Source organism: Homo sapiens, chromosome 3, assembly GCF_000001405.40.
Source record: "Homo sapiens chromosome 3, GRCh38.p14 Primary Assembly".
Classification (NCBI taxonomy): domain Eukaryota; kingdom Metazoa; phylum Chordata; class Mammalia; order Primates; family Hominidae; genus Homo; species Homo sapiens.
The window spans coordinates 15499295-15521970 of record NC_000003.12 but is presented as its reverse complement, the minus strand read 5'-3'; the positions used below and the strand labels follow the sequence as shown (position 1 = coordinate 15521970).

General features: G+C 46.3%; 1 protein-coding gene and 1 pseudogene across 2 annotated transcripts in view; both read left to right on the top strand.

Moving 5' to 3' along the window:
• COLQ (collagen like tail subunit of asymmetric acetylcholinesterase) overlaps positions 265-22676 on the top strand; it is a 71574-nt gene continuing 49162 nt past the window's right edge. For both annotated transcript variants that reach the window (NM_080539.4, NM_005677.4), the window contains exon 1: positions 265-451. In NM_080539.4, the coding sequence (NP_536800.2) occupies positions 346-451 (106 nt within the window). In that variant the 5' untranslated portion in view covers positions 265-345. The remainder of the gene's footprint in view (positions 452-22676) is intronic.
• On the top strand, positions 15066-15348 carry RN7SL110P (RNA, 7SL, cytoplasmic 110, pseudogene; annotated as a pseudogene).

Here is a 22676-nt window from a genome sequence, read left to right as displayed (position 1 = left end):
TTTGACATCTTAATTTTAATGTGGGCATTTGATATGGAGCTTGAGATAAATATAACTCTCTGTAGCATGGAGACAGTTTAATGGGAAATGGTTGGCATTCTTTCTTGGTAAAGGCATGGGAGACAGGAGAGGTGGGGGAGGGAGAGAGAGGGAGGGGGTGAGGAGGAGGGAGAGGGAAAGAGAAAGAGGGAAAGACACACACACACACAGACACACACACACACGCACACACACACACACAAACACACGCGCACGCAAACAGCAGTGAGGAAGAGAAAAGCAGAGATAAGCAAGGCTCCGCAGCAGCCTCCTTTCTAACTTGACCCTCGCCAGACCCTGGCCAGCATGGTTGTCCTGAATCCAATGACTTTGGGAATTTATCTTCAGCTTTTCTTCCTCTCTATCGTGTCTCAGCCGACTTTCATCAACAGCGTTCTTCCAATCTCAGCAGGTAAATGATGGCCACAACTTTCCTCTCTTCCATCTGTCAGGGGACAGGGGGAGGAAGGAAGATTGTTTTGCAATGTGTCCTGATGTTTTTGCCATTCAACTGTTGGTGGAGGGAGGTTGGAAGGAAGACGGCCACCCCAGCAGCTTCCTGTCACCCGAGCTTGTCTCGGAAGCCCCTTCTGTCCTTGTTCCAACCGGCTCCTACCTGGCTGCTCAAAGCAGAGACACTTTGAAAAATGGTTTCTGCCTCCCCTATTCTCCCCATTTGCTGCATGATTTCATCTTGGTCAGGAATTTGGGAGAGCTTAAAAGAGACAGAGGTGTGCAAGTAATAGAGAAGTGAGTCTCAGATGTTTCTATAAATACATCTCTGACCTCTTCGAAGGGGGCTTGCCTCACAGGGGCTGTTGTGGAGTAAACAAACCTCTTTCCAGACCCAGATAGCATCCATGGCCACAATAGTCCCTCGAAGGGAAAATGCAGGTGGCAGGGGCCGGTGGGGTGGGGGGTGAACAGCGGCGGGGCAGTTGCAGCCTCAGGACTAGGTTTTCCCTTTCTCCAGACCTGTCTTCCTGGGTGCGACTTCCCTTCAGCCTCAGACAAGGCAGCTGGAGGTCCTGAGAGAAGTGAGCTTTCCAGGGAGAAGTGGAGGGGGTTCCACAGTGACAGCCAGGTCTGGAGCTGAGTGTGTCTGCCGGGTATGAGGCTGGGAGATTTGGGGAAGGGGCTGTGTCTGCCAGCCTGCAACCTTTTCTGAGGTCAGCAGCCTGTTGCCCTTGTCTTGTCTGACCCAGAGCAGGGGAAGTATTCGGTTACTAGTATGGCCTATTTAAACCTTTCTGAGGAAACTCAAATGTTTCCGGAGGGCTTGAAGGAGGCAGGCAGACCCTCACAGCCCCCCTCAATTCACCTCAGTGACCCCTGACTCTCCCCAGCAAAGTTTTAGTTATGCCTCCAACATGAGTCTCATAAATACTTCAACTGAGACAGAAATTTCACTATCGCTGCCTTTGCTGGAAACACAGGGAGGGCCAGAAATGCCAGGCTCTCAGAGAGGGCACATCTCTGAATCCAGCTCCCAACTGCTGTCCATTGATAAAAACAGCTCATCAGCAAGTTGTGTAGCCAACGTTTGTGGGCCATGAGGGAGTGACTCAGAGACTGGTGTGAGGCTAATTATAAAAGTGTGAGAAACAGAAGGAGGTGGGGGCAGATTTGTGGAGAATTCAGGAGGGTGGGCAGGAAAGGTGAGTGGTGGTGTCACCGTGGGTGTGTGCCCACATGCCCCTGCAAATTCAAGTTAAGAGCATCAAGCTTCTTCTAGGAGTGAGTAGTCATTATTCATTCCCCAGTTCAAGGGAGAAGCTTGAGAGTTAATTTGGCCTAATTTGGTGGTTCTTAATCATGTTTGGGTCATGGATTCCTTTGAGAATCTGCTGAAGGTTAGGACTTAAGGAAACTCAGTTTTCTGGTTCTAGCCCTGCCTCTGATGAGCTCCCTGACTTCTGAGAGACAGTGGCCTTACACTATAAGCACCATGTGGCCAGGGCATGTGTCTCTCTTGTACTTTACTGTTTTCCCAGGGTCAGAACAGTGCCTGGCACATAGTAATCAATAAATATTTGATGAATGAATGAATAAAAGCTTCTCATCTGCAAACTGGGGTTTACCATCATTTTGTATTACTTAATTTAAATAGCACCAAAGTGGTTAAGGAGTTCAGAAAACTAGAGAGAAAAGAACCTCTGGTTTTCTTTTGAACTCTTTGCCTTGGAGAGCACCCTGGCACAACATAGATATCTCTTAGGTAAGCTTTTTGCAGACTGTACCAATCAGGGCAACAGCAGGATAAAGAAGCAACTCAGGTGGTTCAGATGAAAAGATCTGAATGAAGGGATCACTTTGAGAGGTGTGGGCGGGGTTAAGGGAACCAACAAGGAATGCTGAGGCACCTAGAGATTAGCAACTGCAATATGCCTTTACCACCCTGTGCTTGAAAAGGCAAGAGGGGCAAATAGGAAAATGGATCCCAGGCAGATTTGGAGCCTTAGAGAAGGGGCCATTAAGCAAGAGCATTGGTCATGGAAGGCCCTAAAGCAGGGAGAAAGTGAAGGAGAAGTACACCATCTTCTCTCTCCTCCCATCCAAGCACCTTTTGGCAGCGCCTCTCATTGGCCAACCCAACTTGAAGCCAGAGGGCAGAGCCTGGAGGTCAGGGACTGGAACACTGAGGGCAGAGAGCCAAGGGGAGGGTTGGGATGGAGAACAACCAGTGCGCACATCCACAGGCACTTCTGGCTGGGAATGTGGTCATTAGACATTAGGGAAAACAATGGAATAGACCTAGCGGGAATCACTAAGGTAACCAGCTCAGTATCACAAAGATATGTTTTCTCCGGTGGTCACTTGGCTTTGCCCCCCTAATTTAGTCACCATGGCTTTATGATAGCACAGTTCAGAAATAAACTTAAGCTTTAAAAAAATGGAAGCTGTTCCTTGTAATCCTTTGGAAATATTTTCCAACAGTTTGATATAAAATATTCTATATTCAGAAGCTTATAGACTCTTAATTCTTCTGAAGATAGGCTGTGTATACACAGAAAATAAGGGCAACCAGGAAAATCTTTTCATTCTATGCATTATAACTTAGTGAGTGCCTACTGTGTGCCTGGCACTCTAATGTGTGCTTCAAGGGACACGGAGACAAGTAGGATGTGGCCTCTGCTCTGAGGGATTCCATGATCACCTGCTTTTGAAACACAGGTGGCGTGTGGTAAATGCCCCGGAAAGGGGTTGTGATGGAGGAAGAGCTCTCATGGGCCTGTAAGCCAGTACTTACCTTCATAGATAATCCACTCCTTCACTGTCTTCAAGAAAGACTATTCCAGCAGTGCCATGTGCAGCACCAGCTATCTGGATCAGAGGTTCATTACCTGGCAACCTCCTCTGCTGGGTCCCAGAGGAGAACCAGGAAGGAGCAAAAAACATCAGAGGCCAGAACTGATGATAGAAATGCCATCGCTAAAGCACATAATATTTGATACACACAAAACTATTTCAGGCCTTTATTCTAAGCCTATTAACTCTTACTTTGGGCACCACTCTAATAGACATAGATAGTCCGTGACTTGAAAGCTGGTGATTATATATAGCATATTAAATTGGGGAGGGAGGAGTTGCTGCTTAAGCTAGACACAATGACGGATGATAAGAATGATTACAAGAAAAACAATAAAGAATTAGGAAATGGGCCTGAGATTTCAAAAAGAATAGTAGGCCAGGCGCGGTGGCTCACGCCTGTAATCCCAGCACTTTGGGAGGCTGAGGTGGGTGGATCACCTGAGGTCAGGAGTTCGAGACCAGCCTGACCAACATGGAGAAAACCCTGTCTCTACTAAAAATACAAATTTATCTGGATGTGGTGGTGCATGCCTGTAATCCCAGCTACTCAGGAGGCTGAGGCGGGAGAATTGCTTGAACCTGGGAGGCGGAGGTAGCAGTGAGCTGAGATCGCGCCATTGCACTCCAACCTGGGTAACAAGAGTGAAACTTCGTTTAAAAAAACAAACAAAACATAGTAGACTAGAGCTACCTCTAGAGCCTCTGCTCTGTCTGTAACCCCTGAAGGCGTCATTGACTACAGTACATTAACTGGTTTTCATTATGATGAACATGAATGGACCAGTGATGACTGGATTGTGCCTACTTTATCTTGCTTAAGAAGGTAGATAAATGCCATTTATATATTAGAATGATTTCTATTGAACATGGCAATTATTAAAAATGCCAAGATTCCCACGTTTGGTGTATTGCGTTAACCATTGGTGGGTAATAAACCACCGTGACACTTGGTAGATCAAAACAACAACCATTTATTGTTGAAGTTCATGTGTTTGTGGGTAAACTGAGGGTCAGCTAATCTAGCTTGGGTTTGGCTGGCCCTGGCTGGACTCACTTATGGGTCTGTGGATTGACTTGGCTCCAGTATCCACCCACAGTGGTAGCTCAGTAGTAGTACAATTTCCAGAATGTGGAGGCACAGACACAAAGACAATGATATTTACCGGAGGGCAGGCCTTCCACACAGTTTAATTTGTGTAATTCTCGCAGCACTCCTGAATGGGGGCAGCACCACTTCCCCTTTCAGATGAGGAAATGGCAGCTCAGAAAGGTTAAGTGACTTGCCCAAGGTCATGCAGCTGTTATGTGGGAGAGCTGGAGACTGAAATCCTGCTTCTTTAAGTCCAGGGCTTTCACCAGTATATACCAAATCTCCTTATGGTTTTGGATAAATAGTGATATTGGCCTTTAAAGTCCTGTAGGCTACCCTCCTATCCTCTGGAAACTCTCCTCTGGATTCTTTTTTGTTTGTTTTTTCGAGACAGGGTCTCGCTCTGTTGCCCAGGCTGGAGTGCAGTGGTGCGATCTCGGCTCACTGCAACCCTCCGCCTTCCAGGTTCAAGCGATTGTCATACCTCTGCCTCTTGAGTAGCTAGGAGTACAGGCACGTGCCACCAAGCCTGACAAATTTTTGTATTTTTAGTAGAGATGGGGTTTTGCCATGTTGGCCAGGCTGGTCTCGAACTCCTGACCTCAAGTGATCCGCTGGCCTTGACCTCCCAAAGTGCTGGGATTACAGCCACCACGCCTGGCCTGGATTCTTTATTTTCCATTCCCTCCTGCTTTTTCCTCAGTATATCAATGCCCAAAGCTCTAGCAAAAGATTGAATATTGCTTTATATTAAAGTGTGCATGACTTGCCAGGGTACTGATTTATCTCTGCTTTGATGGTTCTTGCATTTTAATGGAGGTTAAGGATCTAAGCTAAACAATACTCTAGTGAAATGGTGTCAACCAGGGTGTTTGGGGGTGGGGAGCCAGGGGAATCCACTTCACAAGCCTTCCCTTTAGGCATTGTGAGCCGACCCATCCCCATCGATGACCCTGCAGACACATGTGGTTTCCCTCATTGAATACAGGATTTTCCAGGAAGGCAGGACTCTTCAGGTGATGTTTGGGTCCGGGTCTCAGAAACCAGATGGTGAGAACACCCAAATCCAGTCCTGTAGAGTGAGATCAGATGGAAGGATGTGATTTCTGTCTGGGTACTGGAATCTTCTCCTGTTGCCTGCTGGGATGTAACCCAGGGCAGGCATTTTGTGGCCTGTAGGGCCTGATGTCCAGCCCCGTGCTCCCCTGCCTGGAAGCCAGCCAGGCCACCACTTGGGAACTATCCATATTCTTGGCACTAGATTATGGACCATTTATTTGTGTCTGATGCTGATCAGCTATTGTTTAATGCTCCGTAATGCACTTGCCAGCCATCTCCTCTGATTTACCGCCCCATATTTCCTATGGATAATAAAATCAGAGAGGATTCTTAAATTAAAGAACTCTCTAAGGGGTCCCAGGCTTCCTGCCAACCCCATCCCAAGCCTCTGCGTGCAGCAGTGGGCTCATGTCCTGTTCAGACACAGAGAGGGGTGGGTGTGAGAGGTGGGAGACTTTCCCTTCTGATAAGTTGGGCCAACCCCCCACCTTACTGTTTGCCACACTCACACCTCCTTTTTCAGATCCACAGCCACCACTGCCACATCCATACAAAAACAACACAGCTCCAGAGTGAACAGAGAGCCGCTCTGGCTTCGATGAGACACCAAATAACCTCGTGTCCCATTTTCTTTATTTTATTTTATTTTTTATTTTGATTTTTTTGAGACGGAGTCTCGCCCTGTTGCCCAGGCTGGAGTGCAGTGGCACGATCTCAGCTCACTGCAACCTCCACCTCCTGGGTTCAAACAATTCTCCAGCCTCAGTCTCCGGAGTAGCTGGGATTACAGGCTCCCACCACCACGCCCAGTTAATTTGTATTTTTAGTAGAGACGGGGTTTCACCTTGTTAGCCAGGCTGGTCTCGAACTCCTGACCTTGTGATCTGTCTGCCTCAGCCTCCCAAAGTGCTGGGATTACAGGCATGAGCCACTGCCCCTGGTCCCCATCTTCTTTAAATGCAATTCAGTCAGAAGTACCACTTGTATTTCTCCTATGGACTGGCACCAATGATTCCCACAAGCCTCTTGTTTTACAAAGCACTTTCACAACTACAGTTGTCTTTCCCTTCACAGTAGCCCCTACTGTGAGGGGTCCTGGGTGCAAATTGTGCCTCCCTTGGTTATGAACTGTGTGATGGTGAAGAGCTCATTTCATGCAGTGAGCCCCAAGTTTCTCATCTGAAGAATGGATATAATAGTCTCTGTCTCACAGAATTGCTATGAGGATTTATTAATTCAACAAACATTTCATGAGTGCCAACTATATGCCTGGGGATATGCAGCAGTGAGCAAGCAGACAAAAATATCCCACCCACATGGAGTTTCTGTCATCTCTCTGAGAACTTATCCAGTCCTAAGAGATGAATGAAAGACACGTGGGACAGAGACGGAGTTTGTGAACCAGCTGCCCAAAGACCAAATCCAGCCTTTATGCTTAGCCCTTAGAGTACTAAAGGTGGGGGGTGGTGATTTCTAAAAATTGCCTTAGTGGCTAACATTTAAAAATTGAATGCTTTAACATTTAAAAACAAAAAGTATTTCTGATATCTATTCAGCAAAAAAATTAAATAAAATAAAGAAGCAAACATCTTGAAAAGCAGGACAAGCTGCTGGACGCACGTTCTGGCCATCACTGGAATGGAGCTTCTCCAGCTCACCAAGTCTGCTCTTAACCCCCATCCACCTCCCTTACTACATCTACCTCTCTAGCCCCCTCTGGGCATGTGACTCTGGTCTCTGGGACCAGGAGCCCTGCTGGCTTGGCCTCTGCCTTCCCCTTCTTCTGCATCTGCCTAGAATCCCAAAGCTCTGCACAGCTTAGTTTGAAAGTCAACAGTCTAGATCAGAGAGTCTCAAACTACAGCACTGGTTCCCAGCCCTGGTTAGACAAAAGAATATGCACCCAGGTTGCATTATGAAAGTCCAGAGTCCAAGCTGAGCAGACGAATTAGATCAGAATCTCTGGGGTATTGGATCAGGCATTGGGAATGCTTAAAGTCCTCCAGGTGATTCTAATGTCTGGGCAGGGCTAATCACTGAACTACGGCCAGCATGGAAATCACCTGGAGGGCTTTTTAAACTGCAGACCACTGAGACACACCCTGGGAATTTCTAATTTAGTACTTCTAATGTGAGGCCCAAGAGTGTGATGCTGCTGGTCGGTGGACCATGCTGTAAGAGCCTCTGTTCTAGCTCACCTCTGAGTTCCTTTATTAGTTTCCTATGGCTACTGTAATAAATCATCATAAACTTAGTGGCTTAAAACAGCACACATCTATTATGGTTCTGGAAGTCAGAAGTCTGAAATCAAGGTGTCGCCAAGGCCGAGCTCCCTCAGAAGGCTCTCAGGAAGCATCCATTTCCTGCCTTGTCCAGCTCTAGAGCTGCATTTCTTTCATTCTTTGGTTCCTGGCCCCTTTCTCCACCTTCAAAGCAAGCAGCATAGCATCTTGCTTCAGTGGTCACATTACCTCATTCTGTGTCAAATGTCCTCTGCCTGTCTCTTATAATGACCCTTGTGGTTGTATTTAGGGGCCACCCAAGTAATCCAGGATGATCCCCTCATTTTAAACTTCTTAATTTAATCATATCTACAATGTCCCATTTTCCATATAAGGTAACATTTACAGGTTCCAGGGATCAGGATCTGGATATCTGTGGGAGCCGCCACAGGTTACCTAGTTTTTCCACTAGGTAAACAGACCCACGAGTGTTTTGTTAAAGTGACATCAGAATCAAAGGCACCGTGGTGTGTACTGTCTTCATTTGGGTTCCTTCTCAGAAGCGGAGCCTGAGACAAGGATTTGAGTGCAAGTAGTTTATTTGGGAGGTGATCTCAGAAGGGCAGTGGGGAAGTGAGACAGGGAAGAGAAGGCAATCAGTATGGAGTGTGTTCGGGAGCAGGTTACTGCTATGAGCAACTGGGGCTCAATTCTACTGGGGGCCTTAGGGAGACAGGCAGGGGACTGGGATATTTATCCATCAACTCCTGGGGATTTTCACCACTCTCTTCTTCCTGCTTACCCCAAACAACTTCCCATGGTTGGAGAAGCGCTCTGGCATAGACACAAGACTCTGTAGTGGGAAGCTGAAAGCATGAGCAGGATCGACGAATGGGCGGGATTGATGAATGTGGGCAGGGAAGTGTCCTCTGCTATAGATAGTGTGAGAGAACAGCTGTGTCCTGCTGGCCCTTACACAGTTCCTTGCCTCCATCGCCTCTCTGGACAGTAACAGTTATAGCTCAGCAGCCCTTCCCTGTCGGGATGCAGAAGTTGGGATCCAGCGGGCCATGGAACCACCACTAAAAACACTAAAGTTACCTTTCATTGAGTATTTTCTGGTCACCAGACTCTTGACACATATTATATTTAATCTTCACAACAATGTCACAAGGTAGCCATTAGTACCCCTATTTTACTAAAGAAGAAAGGAACATTCATAGAGGTGCAGTCACACAGTGCCTGGGTCAACATTCCACATCAGAACTTCTGACCCCAAACCATGACAAAGGCAGAATCGCAGAGTGGTTAGGAGTAGGGCCTCTGGTGCCGCACTGCTGGAGTTCAAATCCTGTGTTCCCTTAGCTTTGTGACCTTGGCAAATTACCCTGTTGGTGCCTCAGCCTCCTCGTCTATGAAATGGCTGTAAAAGCAGGATTTCACTCCCAGAGAAGTTGTAAGGATTAAGTGGTCTAATTATGAGCATAAAGTACTTTCAGTAGTGCCTGGCATACAATGTGTGATATATACATATTTCCTGTCATTCTTTCCAGAACCTCTTGGTGTCTCTACACATGGCAAGAGGTCAGATCTTTTTCCATAATTAATTGTGTCAAAAGGCAAAAATCCCAAATACAACCCAGAGAACTTTTTGCTTAAAATATCCAGTGAGTTACGGCAAAAAAGAAGAGACTCAGCTTCCACCCACTTTGCATTTATAAACCAGCCCCTAAAGAAGGAACACGTTGCCCAGAGAAGGAGGCTTCTCGTGGTGACCGGCTTCCCCAGATGCTTTAAAAATACACCTGGCCCTCTTCCATCTCCCAGCCCAGGAGCATTTAGCTCCATTCAAGCCCGCACTTATCTCTCATGGCAACCAGCATAAACACAGGCATGGGGCGCGTGTTTGGGAGCTGGTGACAGCTGAAGGAGAGGCCTCGTGGCTGCTACAGGCTTTGCACCATCAACCAGCTGCGGGCTGCAAATGAAAAAAGAGAGGAAAGAAAAGAAGGAAGCATCGGTGTGAGTCGGGCAGGTTCCTCCCTCCCAGGCATCCCACACTTTCCTCACTCATCCTTCTGTACCACTCTCCTCTTCCTTCTTTGAGAAGTTTGGAGAAGGCATCAGGAGCTTTCCTGCTGCTGCTGGGAGTTCTGTCCTGGGACCATGCTCCACAGAGGACTTTCCAGGGGTTTCGGGCCTGGCATGGGGCTTCTTGGGGACCCGGGAAGACAGGGAATGGGGCGACATTGGCCATCCTACTTGGAGAGACTTTCCTGCCCACCTGCTCTTCTTACTTCACTAGGATTCCGGGTTTGTTCCAGTGTTTGGACTTGTCCCCCGTATGAGGGGACTGTCGGGTGGGTTATGATCATGAGGAGTTGAAACTGGACTGCCCTTTGTGTCCAACAGGGCCAGCTTGGCTTCTGAGACCGTCCTTACTGGGGTGGACCTCATGGAGTGGCCCCCAAAAGGTTTCCAGATTCTCTGTGGTCATCTGGAAATGAAATTCTCAACCACTGAGCACAGTGTCCAGGAATTAGGGAGGCTCCAGGTGAGGAAACAATCTGTTTTCCTTCTGTCGATCTTCTCGAGAGCTGCGTGGAGCAAGGTCATGGTAGGGAACCATCATGGTGGAAAACACAGGAGTCCCCTGTCTCTAGAGAGCAGCAGGGCCCTGCAGGAGCAGCATTGGTTGGGTGGTTTGTCCCCTCACTCTTCCTGTCTGCCAGTAGAAAGTGAGGATTGAAGGGCCGAGGTGACTTTAGGAACAATCTGGGCCCCAGAAATGCTTTCCCCAGAGTATCTGCTCTGGCCCTTACTTCCCTCTGCTGTGGAGTCCTGAGAATAAGAGTGCATTGGCTGGACAGGCTTAGGAGCCGGCTGCCCTGGGCATGACTGCCAAGATTATTTTGTTCATGTCCAGTAGAAGATCATATGGAGACATGTAGGCAGGGGGTTGGCCATTTGCCTGTTTACTTGTGTTTTTAGACAGACTTGCAGCGCAGTCCTTAGGAGTTCAGGTAAAATTAGGACACATCTGTAGTGTTGGACAAGTCATTTGCTCTCTTGCAGGACCCAGTTTCCTCATCTGTAAAATTAAGGGGTGGACCAGACTTTAAATATCCTCTTAGACTTAGACTTTCCCTGACTTTGTGGCTAACATGCTATTTGCAAATTTACAGAATTAGCACCCACACAAAGAAGGGGTCTTGGCGTGTATTTCTCTTCTGAGCATTGGCACTGAGAACCCATTATGTGAGAGTAAAAGGCATGGAGTTCCCATTCACACAGCTCTGGATTTGAGTGAGTCTCCGTAACCCATTAGCTGAGAGATCTTGGCCATGTGATCTTTGTTTTGGTTTCCTTCCTTCCTTCCTTCCTTCCTTCTTTCCTTCCTCTCTCCCTCCCTTCCTCCCTTCCTCCCTTCCTCTCTCTTGGTCTCTTTCTCCCCTCCCCTCCCCTCCATTCCCCTCCCCTCCCCTCTGTTCCCCTCCCCTCCTGTCCCCTCCCATCCTGTCCCCTCCCATCCTGTCCCCTTCCCTCCTTGTCTCACTCTGTCACCAGGCTGGAGTGCTGTGGCAATCACGGCTCACTACAGTCTCTACCTTCTGGGCTCAAGGGATCCTCCCACCTCAGCGCTCCTTCCAGTAGCTGGGATTACAGGCACATGCCACCATAACCAGCCAAGTTTTGTATTTTTTGTAGAGACAGGGTTTTGCCATGTTGCCCAGGCTCGTCTTGAACTCCTGGGGTCAGCGATCCACCTGCCTTGGCTTCCCAAAGTGCTGGGATTATAGGCATGAGCCACTATGCTCAGCCACGGTTTAATTTCTTAATATTTCAGTTTCCACATCTGTAAAATGGAGATAATAAGAGTCTCCATTTTAGACGGTGATGAGGATAAAATGAGCTAATACCTACAGAGCTTTGCACTGCACCTGACATACAGTTTGCTCTCAATTACTGGTTGCAACCATTATTCCAAATGGTGGAGAGAAACTGGAATTCAGCCACTTGCCTCCTCCTGGGATGTTTCATTCCACTATCATCCCATCTGCTTTTTTTTTTTTTAGACAGAGTCTCGCTCTGTCGCCCAGGCTAGACTGCAGTGGCGCGATCTCGGCTCACTGCAAGCTCTGCCTCCGGGGCTCACGCCATTCTCCTGCCTCAGCCTCCCGAGTAGCTGGGACTACAGGCGCCCGCCACCACGCCTGGCTAATTTTTTTTTTGTATTTTTAGTAGAGACGGGGTTTCACCATGTTAGCCAGGATGGTCTCGATCTCCTGACCTCATGATCCACCCACCTCGGCCTCCCAAAGTGCTGGGATTACAGGCGTGAGCCACCGCGCCCAGCCCCATCTGCTCTTATTCGGTGCTGAAGATTCCAGTTTCAGAACTGAGACTCTCTGTCTAAAGCCTGAGGCTGAGTTGGGGACATCCCAGTGCACAGGCTATGGAACCGGAGGTCTGGGTTCAGAATCCCAACTCCACAGGACCTTGGATATCATAGAATCAATTTTCCTCACCTGGAAAAGGGGAATATACAATCCATAACATCATTGCAAGGATCCAAGGAGAGAGCCTGGGAAGGGCCCAGCCCTGGGCCTGGGTCAGAATATGTACTCAGGAATTACTGTTGTACTTTGAGGGGCAACATTTGACTTTCAGGACATGGGATGCTCACACCTGATAACAACACCTTAGCCATTCTGAGTTCTCAGTAGAAAGGTCTGCTAACCAGCAAAGTTCACAGGCAGGAGCTCTTCCTTTGGCTGTGAAGGAGAAAGCTTCTCCCCTTCTAAGACAGGGGTGATCTTAGGAGGAAACCCCACAAGGCACTGCAATCCTGAGAGTGTCCACTTTTTGGAAATTGGGCAGCTCTATGCAAAACCTAGCAAGAAGACAAGCCACTTACTGTATCTAGTTCATCCACATCAGAACAGACCCTCTGTCCACATGGCATCTGTCTTGCATGCTTCCTTTGAGGTGACAATGGCCATCAAGTCACCAGGCCTGCCTAGTGCAGGTCCTCCTGGGCAGTCAGAGGAAAATGATTAAATATGAGATTTTCAAGTGGAATGCCAGCAAATAGTGGCTGATTTGACATAGATGCCCAATATTCTGGCCATATACCCATCTGCTGCCGCTTTGCATTTTGCTCAATGTTTATTTCTAATTGAAGCAATAAAATCCATTTGAATTGATTAAGATCCTCCTTCTTCTTATAGTTATTATGTATGTAATTTTTTTTATTTTTAGTAAAGACAGGGTCTAGCTATGTTGCCCAGGCTGGTCTTGAACTCCTGAGCTCAAGCGATCTGCCTGCCTCAGCCTCCCAAATTGTTGGGATTACAGACGTGAACCACTACACCTGGCCTGCAGTGTGGTTTTAATTTTCATATAATTAAAATTATATACAATTTATAATATATAATTTAATTCTTATATAATGAATGAGACTGAAAATTTGCCCATTTTTCATCTATCGGATGGGCAAAATTCAAAAGGTGTAACATCAGACTGTTGGTGAAGGTGTGTGGAAACAGACACTCTCATCCACTGCTCCTAGGAGGGGATGTGAATTGATGGGGGCTTTGTGGAATTATTTGATGAATAATTTGATGAATTATTCACTTATCAAACCTGGCTTTCCGTCTCTAGATTCATTATGGCCATTACTTAATATACATAGCATTTGAGATACTTCCCCTCAATCAAATGACCAGTATTTATTGTACCGCCTACAATATGCTTGGCTACTTGTTATACAAATGGTTGGAGTTTGTGTGAGAGCAAAGCAATCAAGACAGGGAGACAACCCATCTATGTTCAAGTCAGACTCTACCACTTACCTGGGCACTTATTTGAGCTTCAGTTTACTTATCTCAGATAAGTAATGTTTCAAATGAAGGCAACATTCCGGTTGTAGGCCGATGCTTAGCACATAGTGCTCAATATGTGTTGTTGAGAGTTGTGACAGCTGGCGTTGGCAGGCTACCTAAGGTAGTTTAAAGACTGTTTTTGTGTTCTGCTTTAGGCCACAGGAAAACACCAGAATAAGTTACAAATGAATGAAGATTTAAATATAAAATATGAAACTATAAAATGATTAGAAAAAACCTTGTGAGATTTTTTGGGTAACTTGGGTGTTTGGAAAAACCCAGAAACCATAAAAGAAAATAATTATACATTAAATTCTGCTACATAAAAAAATAATGTGGGAGGCGAGAATTCTACCACTGAACCACCAATGCCTCTCATAAAAAAATAATGTGTGGCAAAAACCAACTCAAAAGGCCAAAACAAACTAGGGAAAATATTTGCAAGCCATATAATAAAGTGTTTCTTTCCTATATATAGGAAAAATAATGTAAGAGAAAAATTGACAACCCAATGAAAAAAATGGAAAAAGTATAAATGGCTTCAAAATGTTTGAAAATATTCTCAGTCTCATTTACTATATGAGAAATGAAAATTAAAACCATGCTGAAGGCTAGGTGCAGTGGCTCACGCCTGTAATCCCAGCACTTTGGGAGGCTGAGGCTAGCAGATCACTTGAGCCCAAGTGTTTGAGACCAGCTGGCCAACATGGCAAAACCCCATCTTGCTAAAAAATACAAAAAATTAGTTGGGCGTGGTTGCACACACCTGTAGTCCCAGCTTCTTGGGAGGCTGAGGTGGGAGGATTGTTTGAGCTTGGGAGGTCAAGGCTGCAGTGAACTGTGATTGCACCACTGTACTCCAGCCTGGGCAACAGAGTGAGACCCACTTTTCACCTATCAAGTAGGCAAAATTCAAGAGGTCAAACATCAGACTGTTGGCGAAGGTGTATGGAAACAGGCACTCTCATCCACTGCTCCTAGGAGGAGACGTGAATTGCTGGGGCCTTTCTGGAGATGAATTAGGCAATATGTGTAAAAATTACAAGTGCCCATACTTTTTGACCCAGTATTTTTATTTCTAGGAATTTATGTAATGGATAGTCTTACCAACATACACAGAGATGCATGTGGAAGGTTATTTAGTTGCATTGTTTGCATCAGCAGATGTTTGCAAATCATCCAAATGCACATCAATGGGGGCAGAATGAACAAATTATGGTTCTTCCAAAGAAAGGGATATTATGCAGCCATAGAAAAGAAAGTGGGGTGGCACGGTGGCTCACAGCTGTAATCCTAGCACTTTGGGAGGGTGAGGTGGGAGGATCACTTGAGGCCAGGAATATGAGACCAGCCTAGGCAACGTAGCAAGACCTCATCTCTAAGAGAAAAATAGAAAAGAAAACAATGTGCATGCATTTTATGTAGTTACAGAATAATTTCTTAGAAATACTGTGAAAAGCCTGGTGCACTGGTGTGTGCCTGTAGTCCCAGCTACTCAGGAGACTGAGGCAGGAGGATCGCTTGAATCTAGAAGTTCTGGGCTATAGTGCACTATGATGATGGGATATCCACACCAAGTTTGGCATCACCACAGTGTCCTTCCAGGAGCGGGGTGCCCCATTGCTCAGGGAGGGGTGAACCCGCTCAGGTTAGAAACAGAGCAGGTCAAAACTCCTGTGCTGATCATTAGTGGGATTATGCCTGCACTCCAGCCTGGGCAGCATAATGAAATGCTGTCTTTTAAACAAAAATACTGTGAAGAAACCAAGAGGGAGTATCATATGTATAATAGAATATTACAAGTAACCCTTTGAGTAAAAGGGGGAAAATATTATACCTACCTATTTGCTTGTATATGCACAAAATATTCCCAGAAGTATACATAGAAAACTAAGTAATGGTTGGTAATAAATAATTGGAACTGGGTAGCTGAGGGAGAGGGGTAGGAGAAAGAATTTTAATGTATACTTGTTTGTATGTTTTGAATTTTGAATCACATGCATGTAATACCTATTCTAAACAATTAAACAAAACACCATCTGTACAAAATACTACCTTTCATCTGGAGCACAAGATGGAATTTTTTGTCTTTAAAAGTCCTTAGATCCAAAGCAGCAAGGAGAATTGAGATCTCAGAGAGTTTCCAGATTGGTAGAATCACAGGATTATAGTGCTGCAAAAAGCCTAAGGTTTATCTTGCCAACTTGCTCAGTTGATAAGTGCTAGTGCTCAACTGAGTCCAAAGGGATCAACCCTAGGCTCCCCAATTTCTGGAATCCAAGGGTTTTAGTGACTTTGAGACCAATGGGTAGAGAAGCCAGTCTGTGCCAGTGGGCAGCCATGGGACTCCCAGGAACCCAGCCTCCCTCCTCCCCACCTGTTGTGGACCCTTGGACAATAGATCCTGGAGGTGGGATGGGGGGTGCAGGGATGGATCTAGGGAAAGGAATAAGTGAGCCAGGTGGTTTTGAATTACAAGTGCCTATAGAGCTAAACTGTCACCATGGAAAAATGAAGGCATGGAAACGTAGTGGCTGGAAGCACAGGGTCTTTCCACGCAGTCACAGTTGTCAGCAGGTGTTGGAAATAACCCACCCTTTGGGCCCGATGCAGCTGGAAGGTTTTGTCTCTGACCTATGGCCAGATCTCCCGAATAATTCTACAAACTTGTCCTCCCCTGTCAAGCACTGGCAGAAGATTTAATAGCACCGGCTGATTTATGTTGGCTGCTGTAATCAAATTCAGAGTCAAGGCGCAGCCAGCCATGGAGAGGTTTCTTTATGTTCCCTTGGCTCCTAATAGCATTGTCTCCGCCTTCCTCTCTACTTACCACATGCCATTTGGTCAAATTAGAACTTGAACTCAAAAAGCAGATGCCTTTCTTTAGATAAGGTCCAAAATAATTCTCTTGTCAGGGAAAGGGGGATGGATTTGTTTCCTTGACTCTGTGTGTGCAAAGGAGGTATTTTTGATATATGACTTATATAAAATAATGACCGACACGAGATGACTGATTTTCTTTCATCCTTGTAGTGAGGATAGACTTTTCCTCCTCAAGACATCTCTGTGGGTTAGGGGTGGGAGACAGAAGAGAATAACTTCTTATATGGTTTGCAGTGATTCAATGACCTGCTCAAGGCCTCTCAATGAGCGGCTTCAGGTTCCTCCAGGTGGCACTGGTGCCTTAGCTCTGTGCAGCTCCAGGGGCCCCTAGACATTTGCCAACAAGGGAGTTGGGCTGACCTACTCCCAACCCTAATCCTTGTGAACATATCTTCTGGTTCTCTGTTGACTATCTAAAATTTTTTAATGGTATTCTTTTTAAAATTAGGAATAATTTCAAACATTCAGAGAAAGTAAAGATAATTGTTCAGGGAACACCAATATGTCCACTGTTTGGGGCTGAATTGTGTCTCCCCCAAATTCATGTTGAAGCCCCAGTAATACCCAGTACCTTAGAATGTGACTGTATTTCTTTTGGTTTTGGTTTTGGTTTTGTTTTTTGAGACGGAGTCTCGCTCTATTGCCCAGGCTGGAGTGCAGTGGTGCAATCTCGGCTCACCGCAACCTTCAGTTTCCGGGTTCAAACGACTCTCCTGCCTCAGCCTCCCAAGTAGCTGGGATTACAGGCACCCACCACCACACCTGGCTAATTTTTGTATTTTTTAGTAGAGAAGGGGTTTCACCATGTTGGCCAGGCTGGTCTCCAACTCCTCACCTCAAGTGATCTACCTGCCTCGGCCTCCCAAAGCGCTGGGATTATAGGCATGAGCCACCATGCCCAGCCAGAATGTGACTATATTTGGAGATGAGGTCTTTATAAAAGTGATTAAGTTAAGATAAGGCCATTAGGGTGGGCATTAATCCAACTTGACTGGTGTTCTTATAAGAAGAGGAAATCTGAACACACAAAGAGACACGAAGGATGTGTTCCGAAGAGAGGCCATGTGAGGACATGGCAAGCAGGTGGCCATGCCCAAGCCAAAGAGAGAGGCCTCAGGAGAAAACAAACCAGCCACACCTTGGTTTTGGCCTTCCAGCCTCAAGGTCTATGAGAAACAAGTCTCTGTTGTTTAAGCCATTCAGTCTGTGGTACTTTGTTACCCCAGCCCTAGAAAACCAATACACGAACCGCAGCGATTCTGCACTGGCTATCATTTTGCTGTAATTACTCTATCATATATCTGTTTATTAATCTTTTTTATTGATGGATTTCAAGTGAGTTGCAGATTTGTCACCCTCTTTGAAGAATAGAATAGGGGAGGTAAATCCATGTTTGATTGAAGACCACCAGCACACCTGATTGAACCCTCTCTGTGGTCGGGATAATCAGAGATTGTTTACTCATGGGAGTTTACAAACCAGGAAACTGAAACCCAGAGATGAACAGTCATTGGGTTTGATTGGAAAGACGTGATTCTGGGCGTTGGTAAGTGGTTCCAACCTTAGCTGGCTGAGGCGACACTTCTGGCTCTTTTGGGTGCCATTTCTTCTGAGGTTTCCTGCTCATTCTCTCTAGGTGGTGGTGGTGGAGGAAGATCTCCACCGTGTGCTGGTAACTGAACCTCCAGAAGTCTCTGGAGTCAGACATCCAGATTCAATCCTGGCCTACTGCCTACTGGTTGTGTTTGACCTTGGGTGCATCCCTTAATCTCCCTGAGCCTTACCTGAAAATGAGGATGACAGTACTAATATATACCTTGTGGGGCTGTTGCGGGGATCAAAGGATTGAATGGGGAACATCACGGAATGTGTCCCATTGTTGGCACCTCACTACTGGGTTAGGGCAATGCTATCTGCTGTAACAGGTGAGCATTTTAGTGGCTTATCCTAATCAAAATTTATTTTTTGCTCACCTAACAGTCCATGTCCCTGGTTGGGGGCAGTGCACCTCCATTCTGGCATTCAGGGGTGCAGGCCCTTTACATCCCGTGGCTCCACTGTCCCCCAGGAATTGAGTCTGTGCACCCAGGCAGAATCATTGGCAAGAATAATGACATGCCCCCATCTCTCTATACTGCAGAGGGCTGGGAAATGCAGCTACTTCACAGGGCTCACTCTGGCCTATGGAAGAGGGAGCACACATTTTGGAGGGAATGTTAGCCTTTTCCACACAGTCTCAACTCAGAGAAGGTCCTCTGATGGGAAGTCAGTGGCTGGGAGTTAGTAGAGGAGGCAGCCAGCTAACCCGGAAACTGCCCCACCAGACTAGAGCAGTGAGGACAGCAGGAAGGTTGGAAGTGGTTGGGAACCAGTGAGCCATCACCAAGGGTCAGCGTCAGATGACCACAGGAGGTCACCTCCTCCTAGGGCTGTGTGCAAGGTGCCTTTGGAACTCTGACCCCAATTCTGTACTTGCTATGTGGTCCAGATCAAGTGACTTAACTTCTCCAAGAGTCATTTTTCGCCTCTGTAAAATGAGGATAATCAGTTGTGAGGGTTAAATGCAATAATGCCTGGGAAATGCTGAGCATGGGTCATCGTCGTTTCGTGATGTGGGTTTTGCCAAACGAGTCTGCAAGTATGCAGCGCAGGCAATGCTCCTTCCCCTCATCTCAGGGAGGATGATACTAACAAGTCATGACCCTCTTTCCTCAGAGTCCTTCTTAACACAGCATTCCAGGAAACCTGTATTCATCAGTGCAAGTTAGGCCGGGCGTGGTGGCTCACACCTGTAATCTTGGCAGTTTGGGAAGCCAAGGTGGGCAGATCACAGGAGGCCAGAAGTTCAAGACCAGCCTGGGCAATATGGTGAGACCCCGTCTCTACTAAAAATACAAAAAACAGCCAGGCATGGTGTTTTTCCTGTAATTCCAGGTACTCCAGAGGCTGAGGCACTAGAATCTCTTGAACCCAGGAGGTGGAGGTTGCAGTGAGCCAGGATTGTGCTGCTGCACTCCAGCCTAGGTGACAGAGGGAGACTTTGTTTAAAAAAAAATTTATAAAAGACTGGGCATGGTGGCTCATGTCTGTAATCCCAGCACTTTGGGAGGCTGAGGCGGGTGGATCACCTGAGGTCAGGAGTTCAAGACCGGCCTGGCCAACACAGTGAAACCCCATCTCTACTAAAAATACAAAAAATTAGCCAGGCTTGGTGGCAGGTGCCTGTAATCCCAGCTACTCCGGAGGCTGAGGCAGGAGAATCTCTTAAATCCGAGAGGCAGAGGTTGCAGTGAACCGAGATCATGTCATTGCACTCCAGCCTAGGCAACAAGAGCAAAACTCCATCTCAAAAAAAAAAAAAAAAAAATCAGTGCAAGTTAGCAGATGAGATAGATGAAAACTCTTTGTTCCCAAGAGATTAGTCTTCTACAAGACTCTCCTGAGTAAACAAAACCATTGGATCTAGAGGTGAGATTAAAGAAAAAATTATTCTGACACTGGTTAAAATGGTGAGGAAGACTTTATCCAAGACTATTGCAATAGGTTTAAAGACTATTGTAATAGGACACAGAGATCAACCTTAGCTCCATTACAACAAGGACAAGTGGGGAATTATAGCCAAGAAGCAGGTTGGGTGGGTCAGTGGATTAAAAACTAGTAAGAGGAGACATCATGATAGGGGGATTTTGGCTGAAACAACTTAACAGGATTCTTGCTGAAGGCAGACCAGGTTGATCAGTTCTCAAGGGTGGGGGATTCTCTCTAAACTGACTTATCAAGATTCTGGCTATAACTGGACTCTGCAAGGATGGACACAGAAGCCCACGTTCAAAGCCTAGTCAAGAGGAGGGCTCAGGGGAACCTGACCAAAGCTTGGCCGAGGAAAGAATGGTTGTCAGTGGGAAGGTAGAACTCAGGTCTTCCTACCTATTTCTCTGCCCACCAAGGTTTTGGGATGGGACAGCGGATGTGAAGTGCTCCAGGGCTGGTGGGAGCCTTGGCACTGCCCCAAACAGGTAGATGTCTTTGCCTCTGGATCCCTGGGAAGGCTGTGGGAGTTATCTATGTCACACAGGCTCTCTGTGAGGTAGTGGTGGGAGACACAGCAGGAGCAGCATGCAAAGCAGAATCTACTTCAGCCCCATCGGCAGGGAACAGGCCTGTGTGTGGCAGCAGCAGGGACAGGAGCACCTGGAACAGCTCCCGGGGATGTCGTATTCCAGAAGAGGTCTCTAGCCTGGCTGATAAATCCCAGAGCTGTAATTAAGACAAAATACTGTGAATGTGACACCTGCTGACAGCTGCAGGAAGGCCCCAGAAACTTGTATTGTGAATTAGATTTTACAGGCAGCTCTTGCCGTGGTGAACTGGTGCCAGGCTAAGGCACCTGAGGGAACTTGAGGGCAAAGATTGTTCACCAAGGGGTAAAAGGGGAGATCCTTCACCCCTGTCTAGGAACCACTGATGTTTCAGGAATCACAGACCCTGAGAGATGCCAAAGTTGGAAAGGGCTTAGAGCTCATCTGGTCCAAGGCTTTCATTGTACATCTAGAAAAATCCAGACCCACAGGGGAAATGGGTTGTCCTAGGTCACACAGTGAGTTAGTGCCAGGGCTAAAGACCAGGGCTCTTAATCCCAGGCTGGCACACTTGGCTGGAGAGCAATTAAAAGTAGTTGAGCATACATCCAGAAATTTGACTTAAATTAAATGGTGCATGCTTGGAAAGACAGAGACAATGCCAGAGAATGAGACAAAGTTATAGATAGAGAGACACAGAGACAGAGAAAGACAGAGACAGAAAAGAGAGTAGCAGAAGGAGAGAAACACAGAGAAGAGGCAGAAGATATTCGTGAACCTGAACCATTAGGTTCAAATAGAGATTCAAACACCTGCCAAGTTGGACAGGACCCCAGCGATCATCTAGTCCAGCTACTTTTGTTTTTACAATAATGAAACAAACTACAGCTGAGTGGTTTACATATGTCAAACCTTTTTAGAAAAAGTTTGATGCCATGTGGTTAAAAAAAACACAGTAAGTGCTTTTGGTGTGAAAAGTGGCAAAACTTCCATCTCTGAAGGTTTGCGAAATGAAATTTGAAAAATGAAGAGCTGCAAGAATATGACTCAGAATAGAGAAAGTCAGGAAAATGTGATGCAGATACTTCTGCAACTCTCTAGGACTCAGGACTGAGGACTCCCTGGCCTTATTGCTACTTTCTCTGAGGTCTTAGACCCAGTTTCTGAGAAGGACAAAGGGGAATTCCCCAGAGAAGGAACACAGCCTAAGCCTCACCTCCCACTCCTCCCATCTTGATATAGCAAGTCTCTGCTTTCAAGTATCAGCTCAAATCCCACCTCTTCCAGGAATCCTTCCTTGATATCTCACTTGGACCCTCTACCCCTCAACCGTTACCCATTTCTTCCTTCTATAAATCCCTTCAGGCATCCCTGCCCTATGTTAGCCACTCTTCTTTTTTTACCTTATACAACAGTTATCCAAGAATATGTCAATAAGAGAGCCCTTATTCGGTGCCAGGAATTCCAAAAGCTGTAGCTCTAATCCTCACAGCAAACTATCAAAGTCGGCTTTGCACGCCCACTTTATAAGTAAGAAAGCTTAGACTCCGAAAGAATGAATAACTTCCTCAAGGTCACACAGCTACTAAGTGGCAAAACCAGGACTTAAGCCCAACTTGGATGACTCCAGGGCCAGTACTCTTCCCGTGACACTGAACGACACATTCCAAGGGCGGGAACTGTGTCTAGTCATTATGTCTTGCACAATTTGGTACTTACTGTGTTTCTGAATGAATAAAACAGTAAATGAATGAATGAACATAAGTGTCCTTTCTTTTGAAGGTTATAGTGCAGGGCTTGGCAAACTACAGCCTGTGGGCCGAATCCAGCCTGCCTCCTATATTTGTGTAAACTTTTACAAAACATGACCAATCTCATTCCTTCATGTATTGTCTATGGCTGCTGTCCTGTACAATGGCAAAGTGAGGTTGTAACGGAGACCATGTGACCCACAAAGCCTAAATATTTACTATGTTGACCTTTATAGCAAAAGTTTGCTGACTCCTGCTATAGCTTATGGTCTTTACTAAGCTGATCAAAACAACAGTGCTTATTGCTAAGTAGTATAATAATAATCTTGTCTTTTATAATCTAAAATATTGTGTGT